Source organism: Homo sapiens, chromosome 4 (genome assembly GCF_000001405.40).
Source record: "Homo sapiens chromosome 4, GRCh38.p14 Primary Assembly".
Classification (NCBI taxonomy): Eukaryota; Metazoa; Chordata; class Mammalia; order Primates; family Hominidae; genus Homo; species Homo sapiens.
The window spans coordinates 6,947,218-6,961,662 of NC_000004.12; the positions used below are offsets into that span (position 1 = coordinate 6,947,218).

Sequence of the window (14,445 nt, forward strand, 5' to 3'; positions counted from 1 at the left end):
GCAGGCGCGGTGGCTCAAGCCTGTAATCCCAGCACTTTGGGAGGCCGAGGCAGGCAGATCACGAGGTCAGGAGATCGAGACCATCCTGACTACCACGGTGAAACCCCGTCTCCACTAAAAATACAAAAAAATTAGCCGGCTGTGGTGGCGGGTGCCTGTAGTCCCAGCTACTTGGGAGGCTAAGGCAGGAGAGTGGCGTGAACCCGGGAGGTGGAGCTTGCAGTGAGCCGAGATCGTGCCACTGCACTCCAGCCTGGGCAACAGAGCAAGACCCTGTCTCAAAAAAAAAAAAAAATTAGCTGCCCCTGGTGGCGGGTGCCTGTAATCCCACCTACTCAGGAGGCTGAGGCAGGAGAATCCCTTGAACCCGGGAGGCGGAGGTTGTAGTGAGCTGAGATTGCGCCACGGCACTCCCGCCTGGGCAGCAGAGTGAGATTCCGTCTCAAAAAAAAAAAAAAAAAATCTAAGCTGATGTTAGAGAGTGGATCCCTGTTTACTTTTCCCCTCCTGTATTTAAATATTAGAGAGTGTTTGAAGGAGATTTCAAGGAGAGTATGACTTCAGGGAGAACACTAGATCTTGCTTTGGACTCAGTGACTTCATCAGTGGAGACGTTCGTGGCAGAGTCATTTCAGGGTTAGTTAATGAATACCTTTTAATGCAGTTCTATCTGGCAGGTTTTATGTCAGACCTTGGGGATACAAAGACCAAGTAGGAAGCCCGCCTGCCCTACAAATGCAGGGGGAGGTGAGGTGCAAATAACAAAAATGCAATACTCCCAGCTCTGTGTCAGAGATAAATGTGGACGTGCTTTGGGAGCACAGAGGAGGGACTGCGTGGGGAGGGGGCACATGAGCCCAGGAAGGCTGCACGGGAGAGTGGTTTGAGCTGAGTTAGCATGTATTGAAATTTTATGTAAAGGAGAGCAAAGCCTGCAGAACTTAAGTACATGAAGTGAACACACTCGTGTGTCTGCCACCTCAGTCAGTACAGAGACTATGACTAGAACCCCCAGAAGTCTCCTTTGGGTTCCTTCCCTGTCAGCATTTCGCTCCCCATGGGTAACCACTGTTCTGACTCTGTCACCACACATGAGCTCTGCCTTCTTTAGGTAAATGGACTCATCCATTATGCCCTCTCATGTCTGGCTTTCTTTGCTCAACACTGGCAAACTGACCCTGGGAGGTTTTGCATAGCAGTAGCATCCATTTATTGTTGTCTAGTTTTCGGCTGTATGGGTATCCCACTCTTTGTTCTCCCATGTGTGGAGGTTTGATTTGTTCAGGGTCCAATGGTTACAAATAATGCCCACCATGGTGTTCTCACGGATGTCACTGGCGTGTGCGTGCCTGGGGGGTGGGACAGGTGGGTCTCCCGTGGGTCCCACTCGCGGTGTGTGGTGATGCCGGCTGCTCTTGATCCTTCCGAAAGGTGATATTGTCAGTTTATTTTTCTTTTTGTCATTCCGGTGACAAGGTAGGGGTACTTGGTTTTTTTTTTTTTTTTGAGACAGAGTCTGTCACCCAGGCTGGAGTGCAGTAGTGAGATCTCAGCTCACTGCAACCTCCGCCTCCCAGATTCAAGCGATTCTTCTGCCTCAGCGTCCCAAGTAGCTGGGATTACAGGCGTGAGCCACCACGCCTGGCTAATTTTTGTATTTTTAGTAGAGATGGGGTTTCACCATGTTGGCCATCTCCTGGCCGGGCGTGGTGGCTTACATCTGTAATCCCTGCACTTTGGGAGGCCGAGGCGGGTGGATCACCTGGCCAACATGGTGAAACCCTGTCTCTAGTAAAAATACAAAAAATTAGCCAGGCGTGGTGGCGCACACCTGTAATCCAAGCTATTTGGGAGGCTGAGGCAGGAAAATCACTTGAACCTGGGAGGTGGTGGTTGCAGTGAGCTGAGATCTTGGCACTGCACTCCAGCCAGGGCAACAGAGTGAGAATCTGTCTCAAAAAAAAAGGCTGGGCGCAGCGGCTCACGCCTGTAATCCCAGCACTTGGGAGGGAGCCCTTCTATTTTGTTCTGGAAGGTTGTCTTGGCTAGTCTTGGTCTTTTTCATTTCTATATAGATTTTAGAATCAGTTTGGCAGATTGTACAAATAAATTTGCAAGGGTTTGGTTTGGGATTGCATTGAATTTATAGATCAGTGTTTATTACATGAAGACTTCTAATTCGTGGCCGGGCACAGTGGCTCACGCCTATAATCCCAGCACTTTGGGAAGCCGAGGCAGGTGTATCACCTGAGGTCAAGAGTTGGAGACCAGCCTGACCAACATGGCAAAACTCCATCTCTATTAAAAATACAGAAATTAGCCGGGTGTAGTAGCAGGTGCCTGTAATCCCAGCTACTTGGGAGACTGAGGGAGGAGAATCGCTTGAACCCGCGAGGCAGAGTTTGCAGTGAGCTGAGATCGTGCCACTGCACTCCGACCTGGGCGACAGAGCAAGACTCCGTCTCAAAAAAAAAAAAAAATTGAATCCTTGAACCTCTATTTAGGTTTTCTTTCATTTCTCCACATTTCGTAGTTTTGTTTTTGTTTTTTTTTTTAATGTAAAGGTCTTATGTTTCTTTCATTAAATTTATTCCTGGATACTGTTTGGGATGGTTTTACAAATGTCAAGAAATGTAGAGTTGACTCGTTGGGTAGTGTTTGTTGTAAATGCAGTGAATTTTTTTATTTTTTATTTTACTTTAAGTTCTGGGATACATGTGCAGAACATGCAGGTTTGTTACATAGGTATACATGTGTTGTGGTTGTTTGTTGCACCCATCAACCTGTTATCTGGGTTTCAAGCCCCACATGCATTAGGCATTTGTCCTAATGCTCCCTCTCCCCGTGCTCCCCACCTCCAACAGGCCCTGTTGTGTGATGTTCGCTCCCTGTGTCCATGCGTACTCATTGTTCAACTCCCCCTTATGAGTGAGAACATGCGGTGTTTGGTTTTCTGTTCCCGTGTTAGTTTGCTGAGAATGATGGCTTCCAGCTTCATCCGTGTCCCTGCAAAGGACGTGAACTCATTATTTTTTATGGCTAATGCAGTGAGTTTTTGTGTATAGGCCTTGCTAACTTCGGTTACTAATTCTAATAGCTTATCCATAGTTCATTTGGATCCTCTCTGTAGAAAATCGTCCTGTCTGTGAATGAGTTTCTTTCTTTCAACTCTTACACCTTTCATTTTGTTTTCTTGTCTTATTGTATGGCCAGGCTCTCCCATTTAGTGCTGAATTGAAGTGGGACTGGCAGAAATCCTAGTCTGGGTCTTGGGCTCTGGGAAAGCTTTCATTATTTCCTCGTTAAGTGTGATGTTTGCCATAGGATACCTTTTATCAGATACCTTACTCTTTATTAGATACCTTTATTAGATAAGGAAGTCTCCTTTTAGTCCTAGTAAAGGTGTTTTAAAAAAATTATGACTGTTGTATTTTATTAAATGCTTTTTTCCTGCATCTATTGATAACTTATGTTTTCTCCTTTACATGGTAAAGAACGTATTTTTCTAATGTAAAATTAACTTCGCATTCTTAGAATAATCCCAACTTGTTCATAATATATTATACTTTACATTTATCATTGATTTGATTTGCATATTTTGTTTGGGACTTTACTGTCTATATTTATAAGGGTATGGGCTGTAATTTTCCTTTTGGTTTTGATATCAAAATTATGCTGGCCTTATAAAATGGGTTGGGAGAGTTCTACTTTCTGTTTTCTCAAAGAGTTTCTATAAGATTTTTCTCTGGTGATTACATGAACCTACCAGTGTGTTAAAACTCGTAGAACTGAGTGGGCGCAGTGGCTCATGCCTGGAATCCCAGCACTTTGGGAAACCAAGGCGGGCAGATCAACTGAGGTCTGGAGTTTGAGACCAGCCTGGCCAACATGGTGAAACACCCTGTCTCTACTAAAAATACAAAAATTAGCCGCGTGTAGTGGCAGGCACCTATAATCCCAGCTACTCAGGAGGCTGAGGCAGGAGAATCGCTTGAACCCAAGAGATGGAGGTTGCAGTGAGCCAGGATGGCACCATTGCACTCCAGCCTGGGCGGCAGAGCAAGACTGCATCTCAAAAAAAATAAACAACAACAACAACAACAACATAAAAAACCCTCATAGAACTGTATTCAAAAAAGTCCATTTTATTGTATATGAATTGAAACAATAATAGCTGGGTGTGGTAGCCTGCAATCCCACCTACTCCAGAGGCTGATGGGGGAGGATTGCTTGAGCCCAGGAATTCGAGTCCAGCCTGGGCAACATAGTGAGACCTTATTTTCATTAACAACAAAAAAATTAAAAAGGTAATAAAACACTTTCACAAGGGAATTTTTAAAAATGTGTTCATGTACTCACCTACACCCCCTCCCTCACAGACTTTGTCAGATGATCCTCAAAGGGACATCAGAAAGTCCTTGTTGAATAAGTCTGTTTCTTATGATTAAATGATGCCAATAAATAATTTGTCGAATGATCTAATACATTTCCCCAGGGGGTGGAATGGTGGAGGAGAGGGCTAGTGAAAGGTCTGTTCTGTGAGTGTATTTCTTCCTTAATGTTTGGAAGACTTCACCAGTAAGGCCATTTGACCTGGAGTTTTCTTTGTGAGTTTCTAAATTATTGACTTAATTTTGTTGTTGTTGTTGTTGAGGTATAATATATAAATTGTGACTGTTGAGTGTTGAGGAAGGATTTGGAGAGGCATGGGAACACGAGGCTGCAGGGTCTGTATTTGGGAAGGAGACTGGCGATGAGGCGGCAGGGCTGGGAAGGCTTTGGCTGATAGGCTGTTGTCGTGGTTATGCCCCTTTGTGGAGTGACTGCTCTGGGCCCCACCCATAGCTGATGTGCTAGACCAGATGTGGTTTGAAACTCCCTGGGTAGTGGGAACCGATGAGAAGTGTTAAGTAGGACAGCAGGAATCACCTTTCTAAGTGCATGCGGCCGTTCAGAACAGTGGTTCTCAGATCCAGGTGTGCATCGGAGCCACTGCAGGGCTCGTTGAACCAGAGATTGCTGGATCCCACCCGGGGTTTATGGTTCCATAGGTCTGGGTGGGACTCAAGAAATTTGTGTTTCTAGCCAGTGCCCAGGCGATGCCGCTGCTGGTCCAGATTCCCCACTTGAGAACCACAGGGTTTGATCGTATTCATTAATTGGCCCCCTCCCCGAATCAAATGTTGGCTGCCCTGGGGCAGGGATTTTGTCAGTTTCATCCCCTCTGGTCCCCTGGGCCAGGCACAGACTAGGTGCTCAGGACCACTCTCTGCCAGGCCAGCTCTTGTACTTGATTGTCCAGGGTTTTTTAAATTGCAAAAGTAATATGTGCTTGTTTGGTTTTTTAAAACACAGTGCAGACATCTATGAAATAAAAGTAAAATTCCCTTTTCTGCTTCTCATCCTGTGCCTCTCAGCAGACTTCTTTGGTGCCTTGCATACATATAAACACACAGACAGGTGTTTTCTTTTTTAAGGGATGATGGAGCTGACTGTTAGAGGATGCTGGCTGGGGCTTGAGGAGGATGATTCTGCAGGGGCTAGTTGACATAACTGAATGGCGTTGGCTCCAAGGGGAACCAACCCATAGTGCATGCTGGTGGTTTAGACTAGTTTTTTTTTGTTGTTGTTGTTTTTGTTTTGTTTTTGAGATGGAGTCTCACTCTGTCGCCCAGGCTGGAGTGCAGTGGTGTGATCTTGGCTCACTGCAATCTCTGCCTCCTGGGTGATTCTCCTGCCTCAGCCTCCCGAGTACCTAGGATTACAGGCACCCACTGTCACGCCTAGCTAACTATTTTTTTCTTTCTTTTTTTTTTTTTTTTTTCTGAGACAGAGCCTCGCTCTGTTGCCCAGGCTGGAGTACAATGGTGCAATCTTGGCCCACTGCACCCTCTGCCTTCCAGCTTCAGGCAGTTCTTTGCCTCAGCCTCCCGAGTAGCTGGGATTACAGGCACCTACCACCATGCCCAGCTAATTTTTGTATTTTTAGTAGAGACGGGGTTTCACCATCTTGGCCAGGCTGGTCTTGAACTCCTGACCTCGTGTTCCACCCACCTCGGCCTCCCAAAGTGCTGGGATTACAGGCGTGAGCCACCACGCCCAGCCATAAGAATAGATCAGTTGGCCGGGCGCGGTGGCTCACGCCTGTAATCCCAGCACTTTGGGAGGCCGAGGCGGGCGGATCACGAGGTCAGGAGATCGAGACCATCCTGGCTAACACGGTGAAACCCCGTCTCTACTAAAAAAAAAAAAAAATACAAAAAATTAGCCGGGCGAGGTGGCGGGCGCCTGTAGTCCCAGCTACTCGGGAGGCTGAGGCAGGAGAATGGCGTGAACCCCAGGGGGCGGAGCCTGCAGTGAGCCGAGATTGCGCCACTGCACTCCAGCCTGGGCGACAGCGAGACTCCGTCTCAAAAAAAAAAAAAAAAAAAAAAGAATAGATCAGTTTTGGGGGACATGAGGTTGTTAGTTAGCTCTGGGTTTTCGTTTTTGTCTTCAACAGCATTTGAAGTGAGTGAGGGGGAATCCAGAGCGATGGTTCTAGTGTAGGTATTTGGATTAATTTCACGGTTCTGTGCTTGTGACTCAACGGCAGACCTGGCCGCTGCTTCACAAGGCACAGTGCCTGGCACACTGCAGACGCTCAGGAAGCGCTGTGTGCTTGGCGCTTTTCCAGGTCCGAGGTCCCGGTGGGTTTTGTGACAGGTAGCCTGGACGTGCTGTGTGCTTGGCGCTTTTCCAGGTCCGAGGTCCCGGTGGGTTTTGTGCCTGGTAGCCTGCCCTGCCACGGCATGTGGTGCGGAGCCGTGTCCCAGGCCCGAGAACCCGTCACTCAGGCTTTGCTTCCCAGACTTTGGGCTCACTCCTCCCTCCCTGTGACTGGGGAGGCCCGCCCTGCCGCCCCCGCCTTTCCGCCGGCCTGCTGGGTCCAGCTTGCCTTCATCTGGCAGACGCGAGGGGCGGGGCTCCGAGTGCACCCATGGAGTTTCCCCGGGACTGTGGCTCTGGCGTGCCAGGAATGCGGCACGGGGAGAGTCCGTGCTTCTGCAGCCGGCCCCTCGGAGCTGCGAGGTCACAGTAGACATGATGGCCATCTCCCCTGCGCTCCTGTTCATGGACAGGTTTGTGGCTGCTTTCTTGCCTTTCTTGCTGTTGGAACTGGAGACTTAACTGGAAGCAGAGTCTTTCCTGCGTGTAGCTTTGACAGCATGTGACCGTCGGCCTTGGTTGGGCTGAGGTGTTTCTGTGGGTCTCCCCCGGTGTGAAATGGAGGTGATCCTTTCTATCTAGGCAGCATCTCTGAGTGCCCGAGCTCCCTGGGCTGGTGTTTGTGCTTATGTGTATCTCATGCCCACTGCACTTCCTTGACTTGGATATTCTGTTTTTAAGGACTGTTTTTTTGAGACGGAGTCTGGTTCTGTCGCCCAGGCTGGAGTGCAGTGGCACGATCTTGGCTCACTGCAGCCTCCGCCTCCCAGGTTCACGCGATTCTCCTGCCTCAGCCTCCCAAGTAGCTGGGACTACAAACGTGTGCCACGACGCCTGGCTAATTTTTGTATTTTTCTTTAGCAGAGATGGGGTTTTGCCATGTTGGCCAGGTTGGTCTTGAAATCCTGGCCTTAAGTGATCCACCCGCCTTGGCCTCCCAAAGTGCTGGGATTACAGGCGTGAGCGGCCGTGCCCGGCCTGGATTAACTTTTTAGCATCAGTTGCTACTTGAGTAGCATTTTCTGAAAGAAGAGTGGCTCCAAGTATTTCCAGCTCTTGGGTACTTTGGATTGTGTGTGGAACTAGGAATTTTGAGCACAGTGATTGATCATGGTAATAGAACCTCACTTTCTTTCTTCGTGTTTCCTGTGGAGGAGGTAGGATTTTCTTACATAGGAGGTTTGCTCTGAAGGAGGCTGCATTGTTTTTCATGTCTCTGTGACAGTTCAGAGGGCTGGCCCTTTTCCCTTGCATTTTCAAAGGAGAGTCAGAGGCCCCTATGAATGTGTGTGGCAATGTCAGTTTTTGGGGGGTGGAGATCTGGAAAGTATACCTCGGAAGTGGGATTTAGAGGAAGCATTTAGGTTTTGCCTTCTCTACCTTTGGTGAATAACAGGATTGCTATGTCCCTTCAGGAGGAAGCGTCTTAGCCTCGCTGGGCCTCGGTGTCCTGTCCGTACGGTGGCGGCTGTAATACCTTTCTTGTAGGGTCATGGGAGGAGGATGTAAAACATAGGTAAAGTGCCTGGTGCAGCACTAGGCAGGCACCTGATAGTGCCCTGCACCAGGTAACTATGCTTCAGAAAGTGGTGGCAAAGATTCCCTCCTGGGCCTGGCACTCTCCATGGGAGCCGAGTGCTGCATTGCTCAGCTGGCTTCTGATTGCTTTGGAATCGGAAGTTGCCAGCAGTTTCTGTTAATGAGACAAAGGAGGGAAAGAGCAAGAAGCCCTGAGTAACTGCTGAAGTGCAAACAGGCGTTGAAGTGTATGGTATCTTGAGGGAGGGGACTTTGGGTTTATTTCTTAAGACTTGAGAGGCTTTGAGAAAGCCCTGATGAGTGTCCGTGGCTTGTGGAACCTGCTCCACCAGGTCAGGGAGGATTGCGTCCTGCCTCTCCAGCTGTCCTCTGCCTTCAGGGACAGGTAGCAGCCTCGGACACGTAAGTCCGAGTCGCAGCTCTGTGTTGTTTAGGTGGACGAGTCTGGGCCCATCTCCCCAGCCTCCTACCTTCCTCTTGGTTAAGTGCAATAATAATTCTCATGTAATCTTTATAAAAATTAATTGAAAAAAGCTTTCATTCAATAATCTGAGTGTTTTACTCAGTGCCAGGAACTGTCGTAGGCACTAGAGACAGAGCGGTAATTAGAAGAGGTGGTACCCACTTCCATGAGCTTGACATTCTGCTGAAGGAGACAGATCATAGCCCCCCGACTTGTACTTTGTTTTCATAATAAAGTTTTGTTCTTAGAGAATTCCCCAAACTGTGTAAGCTCCAAGGCCCTCCAAACCTAGATCTGCGCCTGCGAACAGATGATGCAAGTGCTGAAGTAGCAGGTGTGCTGGAGTGTGGCGGAGTGGAGGGATTGTGCAGGACAGACCACCCCTGGCCAGAGGCTCCTGAGCAGCTCTGGCTCACTGTGGCCACATCTTCTATTCCAAGAGAAGCTGGAAACCCAGGTTTTTCTGTTTAAAAATGTTGAACAAATCAAACTGAAGAACACGGCGTAGACAGAAAACACAGGCTCCCAACACGCCATCCCCGCTGATGGCTCCTGCGCACGCGCCTACACAGACCTGCCATTGAGCGCCTAGAGTGTGTGGGATGACTGACACGCCCGGTCCCCCTTCACTCTCGCCTGGCCCTAGGAGGAAGGTGGCATGATCTCTAATTGCAGATGAAAGGAGGCCCAGGGACCGGGGTTGCTTGCCCGGGGCTGCTTCTCTGTGGAAGGGCAAGGCTGGCATAGCCACTGCTTGGTCTCCTCAAAGCCTCTTGTGCCTCACTTCTCAGCCAATGCAGGTGATACGAGGTTACCTCCCACCTTGTGGCTTTCTAGATGCAGACCTGTGCCTGAGCTGCCTGTGCGGGGAAGGAGCACTGGGTCTGTGGCCGGGCTCAGGTGTGGGGGCCTTCTCACCAAGAGAGCCGCGGTTCCTCACCGCTCCATTTGCTAGAAGCGAACAAAGGTGGCCCCGGGAGTGGGATGGACAGCCAGTAAGCTGCTTCCGGCTACTTGGTTGTCTTTGCCTTTTTACCATTGATTTGGTATCTCCTCCACCACACCCCACAGCTTTGCCTTTCTTAGGAAAAGTCTGGGAGTGGAGCAGGAGCATGGTTGCACCGTGCTGGGAGCCACATCGCTTGCTGTGTGCTCCTCTTGAGGGTGGCGCCGGCCAGCTGTTCTTCATTTGTACTGGGAGGAAAGTGGAGAAACTTGTAGCCTGCACTGGGAAACTAGACTCCATGGGTCCACCGGTACTTGCCTGGGGAGGCCTGGAAGGGCCTGAGTTTGAGTCCCAGATGGGTGACCTTGAGAACTGACCTAATGTCTAGGCTATTTTCCTTGGAACACTATCACCAATCTCACGTTGAAGCAGTGGGTGATGTTTACAGTAAATTCCATGGGAGCAGGCGCTCCATGCCTGGAACAGTGTGTGACTTAGAGTCAACATACATTTGAACAAGTAAATATTTAGGTAAAGAAATACTTGGACAGATGGAGGTGAAAGTTGCTGGCATGGTACGGCGTCTCCTTGCTCTGTAAAGGTGTTTTGTTTCTGTGTTCTGAAGCCGGGGGCACACTTCCTCTCCTTTACCCATATAGCGCTCGCCTCTTGCTTTTGCCTACTGGTCTCCTCTGGTCTTGCCAGGAGAGGAATTTGGGCTGGTGATTGGGCACTTCTTGCTATATTCCTGGGAAGAGAATGTGTCTTTTAGGTTTTATCTTAGAAAGTTAGAGGGAGAAGGCCAAGGCGGGAGCATGGCTTGAGCCCAGGAGTTCGAGACCGGCCTGGGCCACATGGTGAGACCCTGTTTCTACAAAAATTAGCCGAGTGTAGTGGAATAAGCCTGTAGTCCCAGCTGCTTCAGAGGCTGAGGTGGGAGGACTGCTTGAGCCCGAGAGGTTGAGGCTGCAGTGAGCTGTGTTCACACCACTGTACTCCAGCCTGGGTGACAGAGTGAGACTCTCAGGAAAAAATAAATAAATAAATAAAAATAAATAAAAAAGGAGTGCTGGCTTTTTTTTTTTTATGGGCTGTTTTTATCATCCCCTTGTTGGGATATCCTAACCCTCTTGGCGATGTTAAGCCCACAGTGCTGCCTAGAAATATAACTCAGCCCTTTAGCCTGGGCCAGGCTCATCCTGCTCCCAGGTTCTCAGCTCCCCAGGGATGGCACTGCCTACTGTGCTCTGTGTCCCACTCAGCAGCTGAACACAGCGCCAGGTGTGGGTCAGGCATGAGTCAAGTCACTGTCCAGATGACTGCTCCAGGTGGCCAGCCCACAGTTAGAGCCGGAGTCTGCAGTTGCCTGGCCAGCCACCTTTCCAACAGCCTCACCTGCTTCATACTGGGGGTCGAGGGGGTTATGTCCCTTGAGCATCCTGACTTCAGTGAGTCTAGGAGGTGGGTGATAGGGTAAGGGTGATACACGTGATCCCCACATATACACACACACACACACACACACACACAGATATTACTGAACAATCTTTTTATGCTTTATTTATTTTTTTGAGACAGGGTCTCGCTGTGTCACCCAGGCTGGCTGGAGTGCAGGGGCTCACTCAGCTTGTGGCAGCTTCTAACTCCTGGGCTCAAGCGATTCCCCCCACTTCAGCCTCCCAAGTAACTGAGACCATAGGTGTGCACTACCACGCCTGGCTTATTTTTATTTTAAATGTTTTGTAGACATGAGGTCTTACTATGTTGCCCAGGCTATTCTCAAACTCCTGGCCTCAAGCGATCCACCCACCTTGGCCTACCAAAGTGCTGGGATTATAGGTGTGAGCCACTGGGCCTGGCTTGAACAGTCTTCTTAATGCCCTTCCCTGGAATGCTCTCACTCTTCAATCTTCTTTCTCTCACCCTCGAAAGCCGGACACTCCTCTTGGTTCTCAAGGTGTCCGTACCCCTGTCTCATTGGCCAGTTTATTGGTCAGCTTCTTGAGGATGGTAGCATTTTTTTTTTTTGAGACGGAGTCTCGCTCTGTCGCCCAGGCTGGAGTGCAGTGGTGGGATCTCGGCTCACTGCAAGCTCCGCCTCCCGGGTTCACGCCATTCTCCTGCCTCAGCCTCCCAAGTAGCTGGGACTACAGGCGCCTGCCACTACGCCCGGCTAATATTTTTTGTATTTTTAGTAGAGGCGGGGTTTCACCGTTTTAGCCGGGATGGTCTGCATCTCCTGACCTTGTGATCCGCCCGCCTCGGCCTCCCAAAGTGCTGGGATTACAGGCGTGAGCCACCGCGCCCGGCCGAGGATGGTAGCATTATTAACTCACCTGTTTGTTTTATAGTTTGAGCCTTGGAGACGATAGGTGCTCACTTAAGAGTGTGTGTCACTGAATGGAATATGCAGGGTGCCAGGCCCTGCAGCAGGTGCTGGGTGCTTTCCTGGCTTTCTTTTTATCATATTTAATCCTGAGAGGTAGAAATGAGGCTCAGAAGCAGTGCCTGCCAAGAGATAAAGTCAAGGGCAGACACAGCTCTGCCTGCTTCTCTGAAGCCCTTGGTCTCTGCTGGGCCTTCCCCCGGGCTGGTGTGAAGGCTGTGGTCCTCCTGCAGGCTCACAGCCGGCTGCTGCTGTTTCCAGCAGGGCCCCCGCCTCTGGGAAGCACAGTGTGGGCAGGGGTTCGTGCAGAGCTGCTGAGTGAGTGGGAACAAGGGGGGATCACAGGCTCAGCGCTCCATGCAGCCCCTTCTCTGGAACCCTCTCAGGATCCATTTTTGAGGCATAGTAGGCATGACGATTGTACTTAGACTGTGGAATAAACATTTTTATGTCTCTTCCAAAGGCCTTGTTTTTTGGTACCAGCAGCGCATCACTGAATACTTGCATTTCTTCTTTGGCCTTTTGCTTGCTGTCACTTCCTACCTAATGCAACAGGAGTGGCCCGATCTTGCCAAGTTGTGTTGCTAGGAGTGCAGAAAAATCCTGTACTTTTTTGGGGTGTGATGAAGTCTTACTGATTTGAAGGATGAGGTGGGAGTGGTACAAAGCATTTCATTTTCTAATGGCAGAAATGCCTAGTTTTGCAGTGGCTTTTAAATTTTTTATGAACTTTTTTCCATCAGCAACACGTTTGCATGGCTCAGAAATCAAAAATTACAAGACAGTATATGGGTGAAAAGTTGGCTTTCTACCCTGTGCCCCTTTTTTTTTTTTTTTTTTGACACAGAGTCTGGCTCTGTCACCCAGGCTGGAGTGCAATGGTGCGATCTCAGCTCACTGCAACCTCCGCCTCCGGGGCTCAAGTGATCTTCCCACCTTAGTCTACCAAGTAGCTGGGACTACAGATGCACATCACCATGCCTGGCTATTTTTTTTTTTTTTTTGTATTTTTTGTAGAGACAAGGTTTTGCCATGTTTCCCAGGCTGATCTCAAACTCCTGAGCTCAAGTGATCCGCCCACCCCTGCCTCCCAACATGCTGGGATAACAGATGTGAGCAACCATGCCTGGCCTACCCCGTGCCTTTTGCTACCCAATATCCTGCTCCAGAAGCAATGAATATAAGCAGTTTTTGTGTTCTTCCAGAGAGTCTGTGGCTGTACAGGCAAATGCAGATGCAGGTGTTACATGGCATGCCTTGTATGATTATGTACCTTGCTTTTTTCCCTTCAAAAAAATGCCTGTTGGCCTCCTGAAAGCTGCCTGTGAGTGTATCAGGAACTCTTGGGTTGTTTCCAGACTTTATCTGACATTAAAAAATAATAATATGTTTTATGTCAGCCAGCATCTTTCAGCATGATGAGCTGCACCTTTGGCGTGTCCAGTGGCTCCTGTATGGGACCGCACAGGCCCCAACCTGTTGTCAGAAGGTGAGGGGTGTTGGAGCCTCCAGGCGGTTTGCTGTTTTCAGCCCCCGCTGCGTCTCTTCAGATGTTGCCCTTCCAGCCTAATCGGGTGCACTGCACAGGCCTGTGAAAGACCCTGGTAACAGTGCGGAGGAGGCCGAGAGAGGCCAGAATCGGTGTCCAACGCGTACCTGACTACTCTTGTTGGGAATGGGGCTTCTGAAGGTCCTTTTGTCCCAGTTAAATGTGTGAGCCGTGGACCTCGCTCCTAATTATTAGGACACCGTGTCCTGGGGTCTGGCACTCGACACTGGACCTGGGAGCTCTGCCTTCACAGAAAAATGGACACGCCATTATTCTTAACATTACTTTGTTGGTGTCCCCTGTCTTTTCCCCATTACTTTGCAAGTCATTGGAGAAACGCCCCAGGGAAGCACTGGGCCCTTTTCCCTGTGCAAAAGTGCTTCTGCCTCTCTCTGGCTTACAGGTAGGCTCTTCACATGGCCGGGTGTGGCCTGATCCCTGACGGCCCCCAGCGTGTTTCCCAGGCTCTGCCATATGGCTTTAAAATGACACTGAGCAGCCTGTGTGGACAAATCCTGATGGGGCCAGCACCTTTCAGGGCACCCTTTGATGGGCACTCCCCATTCTTGTCAACTGTGACCCCCCAAATCTCTCTGTGCCATGGGGGAGCTGAGCTGGCCCTGCTGAGGAGTTGAGTAGGGAAGAATTTCTCTGCAGTGCCCAGTCCACGAGGAGCTGAGCCTGGTGGTGGGGCTGTGTGTGCATGGCCAGGCTGAACCCCCTCATTTAATCCTGAGTCTCCTCTCGGGGGCACTTAATGGGCAGAGGGAGCAGCCTGTGTGGTAGGCCTGAGGTAGGTGATTGGAGCCACGACGCCATTGCCACAAAAACAGGTGCAAGTCCTTGGCAGGATT

General features: G+C 49.7%; 1 protein-coding gene across 14 annotated transcripts in view, besides 1 other annotated feature; it reads left to right on the top strand.

The window, feature by feature from the left end:
* Positions 1–14,445, top strand: part of TBC1D14 (TBC1 domain family member 14) — a 123,649-nt gene that overhangs the window by 37,752 nt on the left and 71,452 nt on the right. For 2 of the 14 annotated variants that reach the window (XM_047416003.1, NM_001330638.2), the window contains exon 1: positions 6,949–7,121. The exons of the other annotated variants lie outside the window; for them this stretch is intronic. In XM_047416003.1, the coding sequence (XP_047271959.1) occupies positions 7,084–7,121 (38 nt within the window). In that variant the 5' untranslated portion in view covers positions 6,949–7,083. Of the gene's footprint in view, positions 1–6,948; positions 7,122–14,445 lie in introns of those variants that run through there. 14 annotated transcript variants of the gene reach the window in all.
* Positions 12,141–12,641: an enhancer, noted in NCBI's record as "H3K4me1 hESC enhancer chr4:6961085-6961585 (GRCh37/hg19 assembly coordinates)". NCBI's record gives its function as "activates a minimal SCP1, AML or CMV promoter by ChIP-STARR-seq in primed H9 embryonic stem cells {active_cell/tissue: H9 hESC(primed)}" and the evidence as "EXISTENCE:reporter gene assay evidence [ECO:0000049][PMID:30033119]".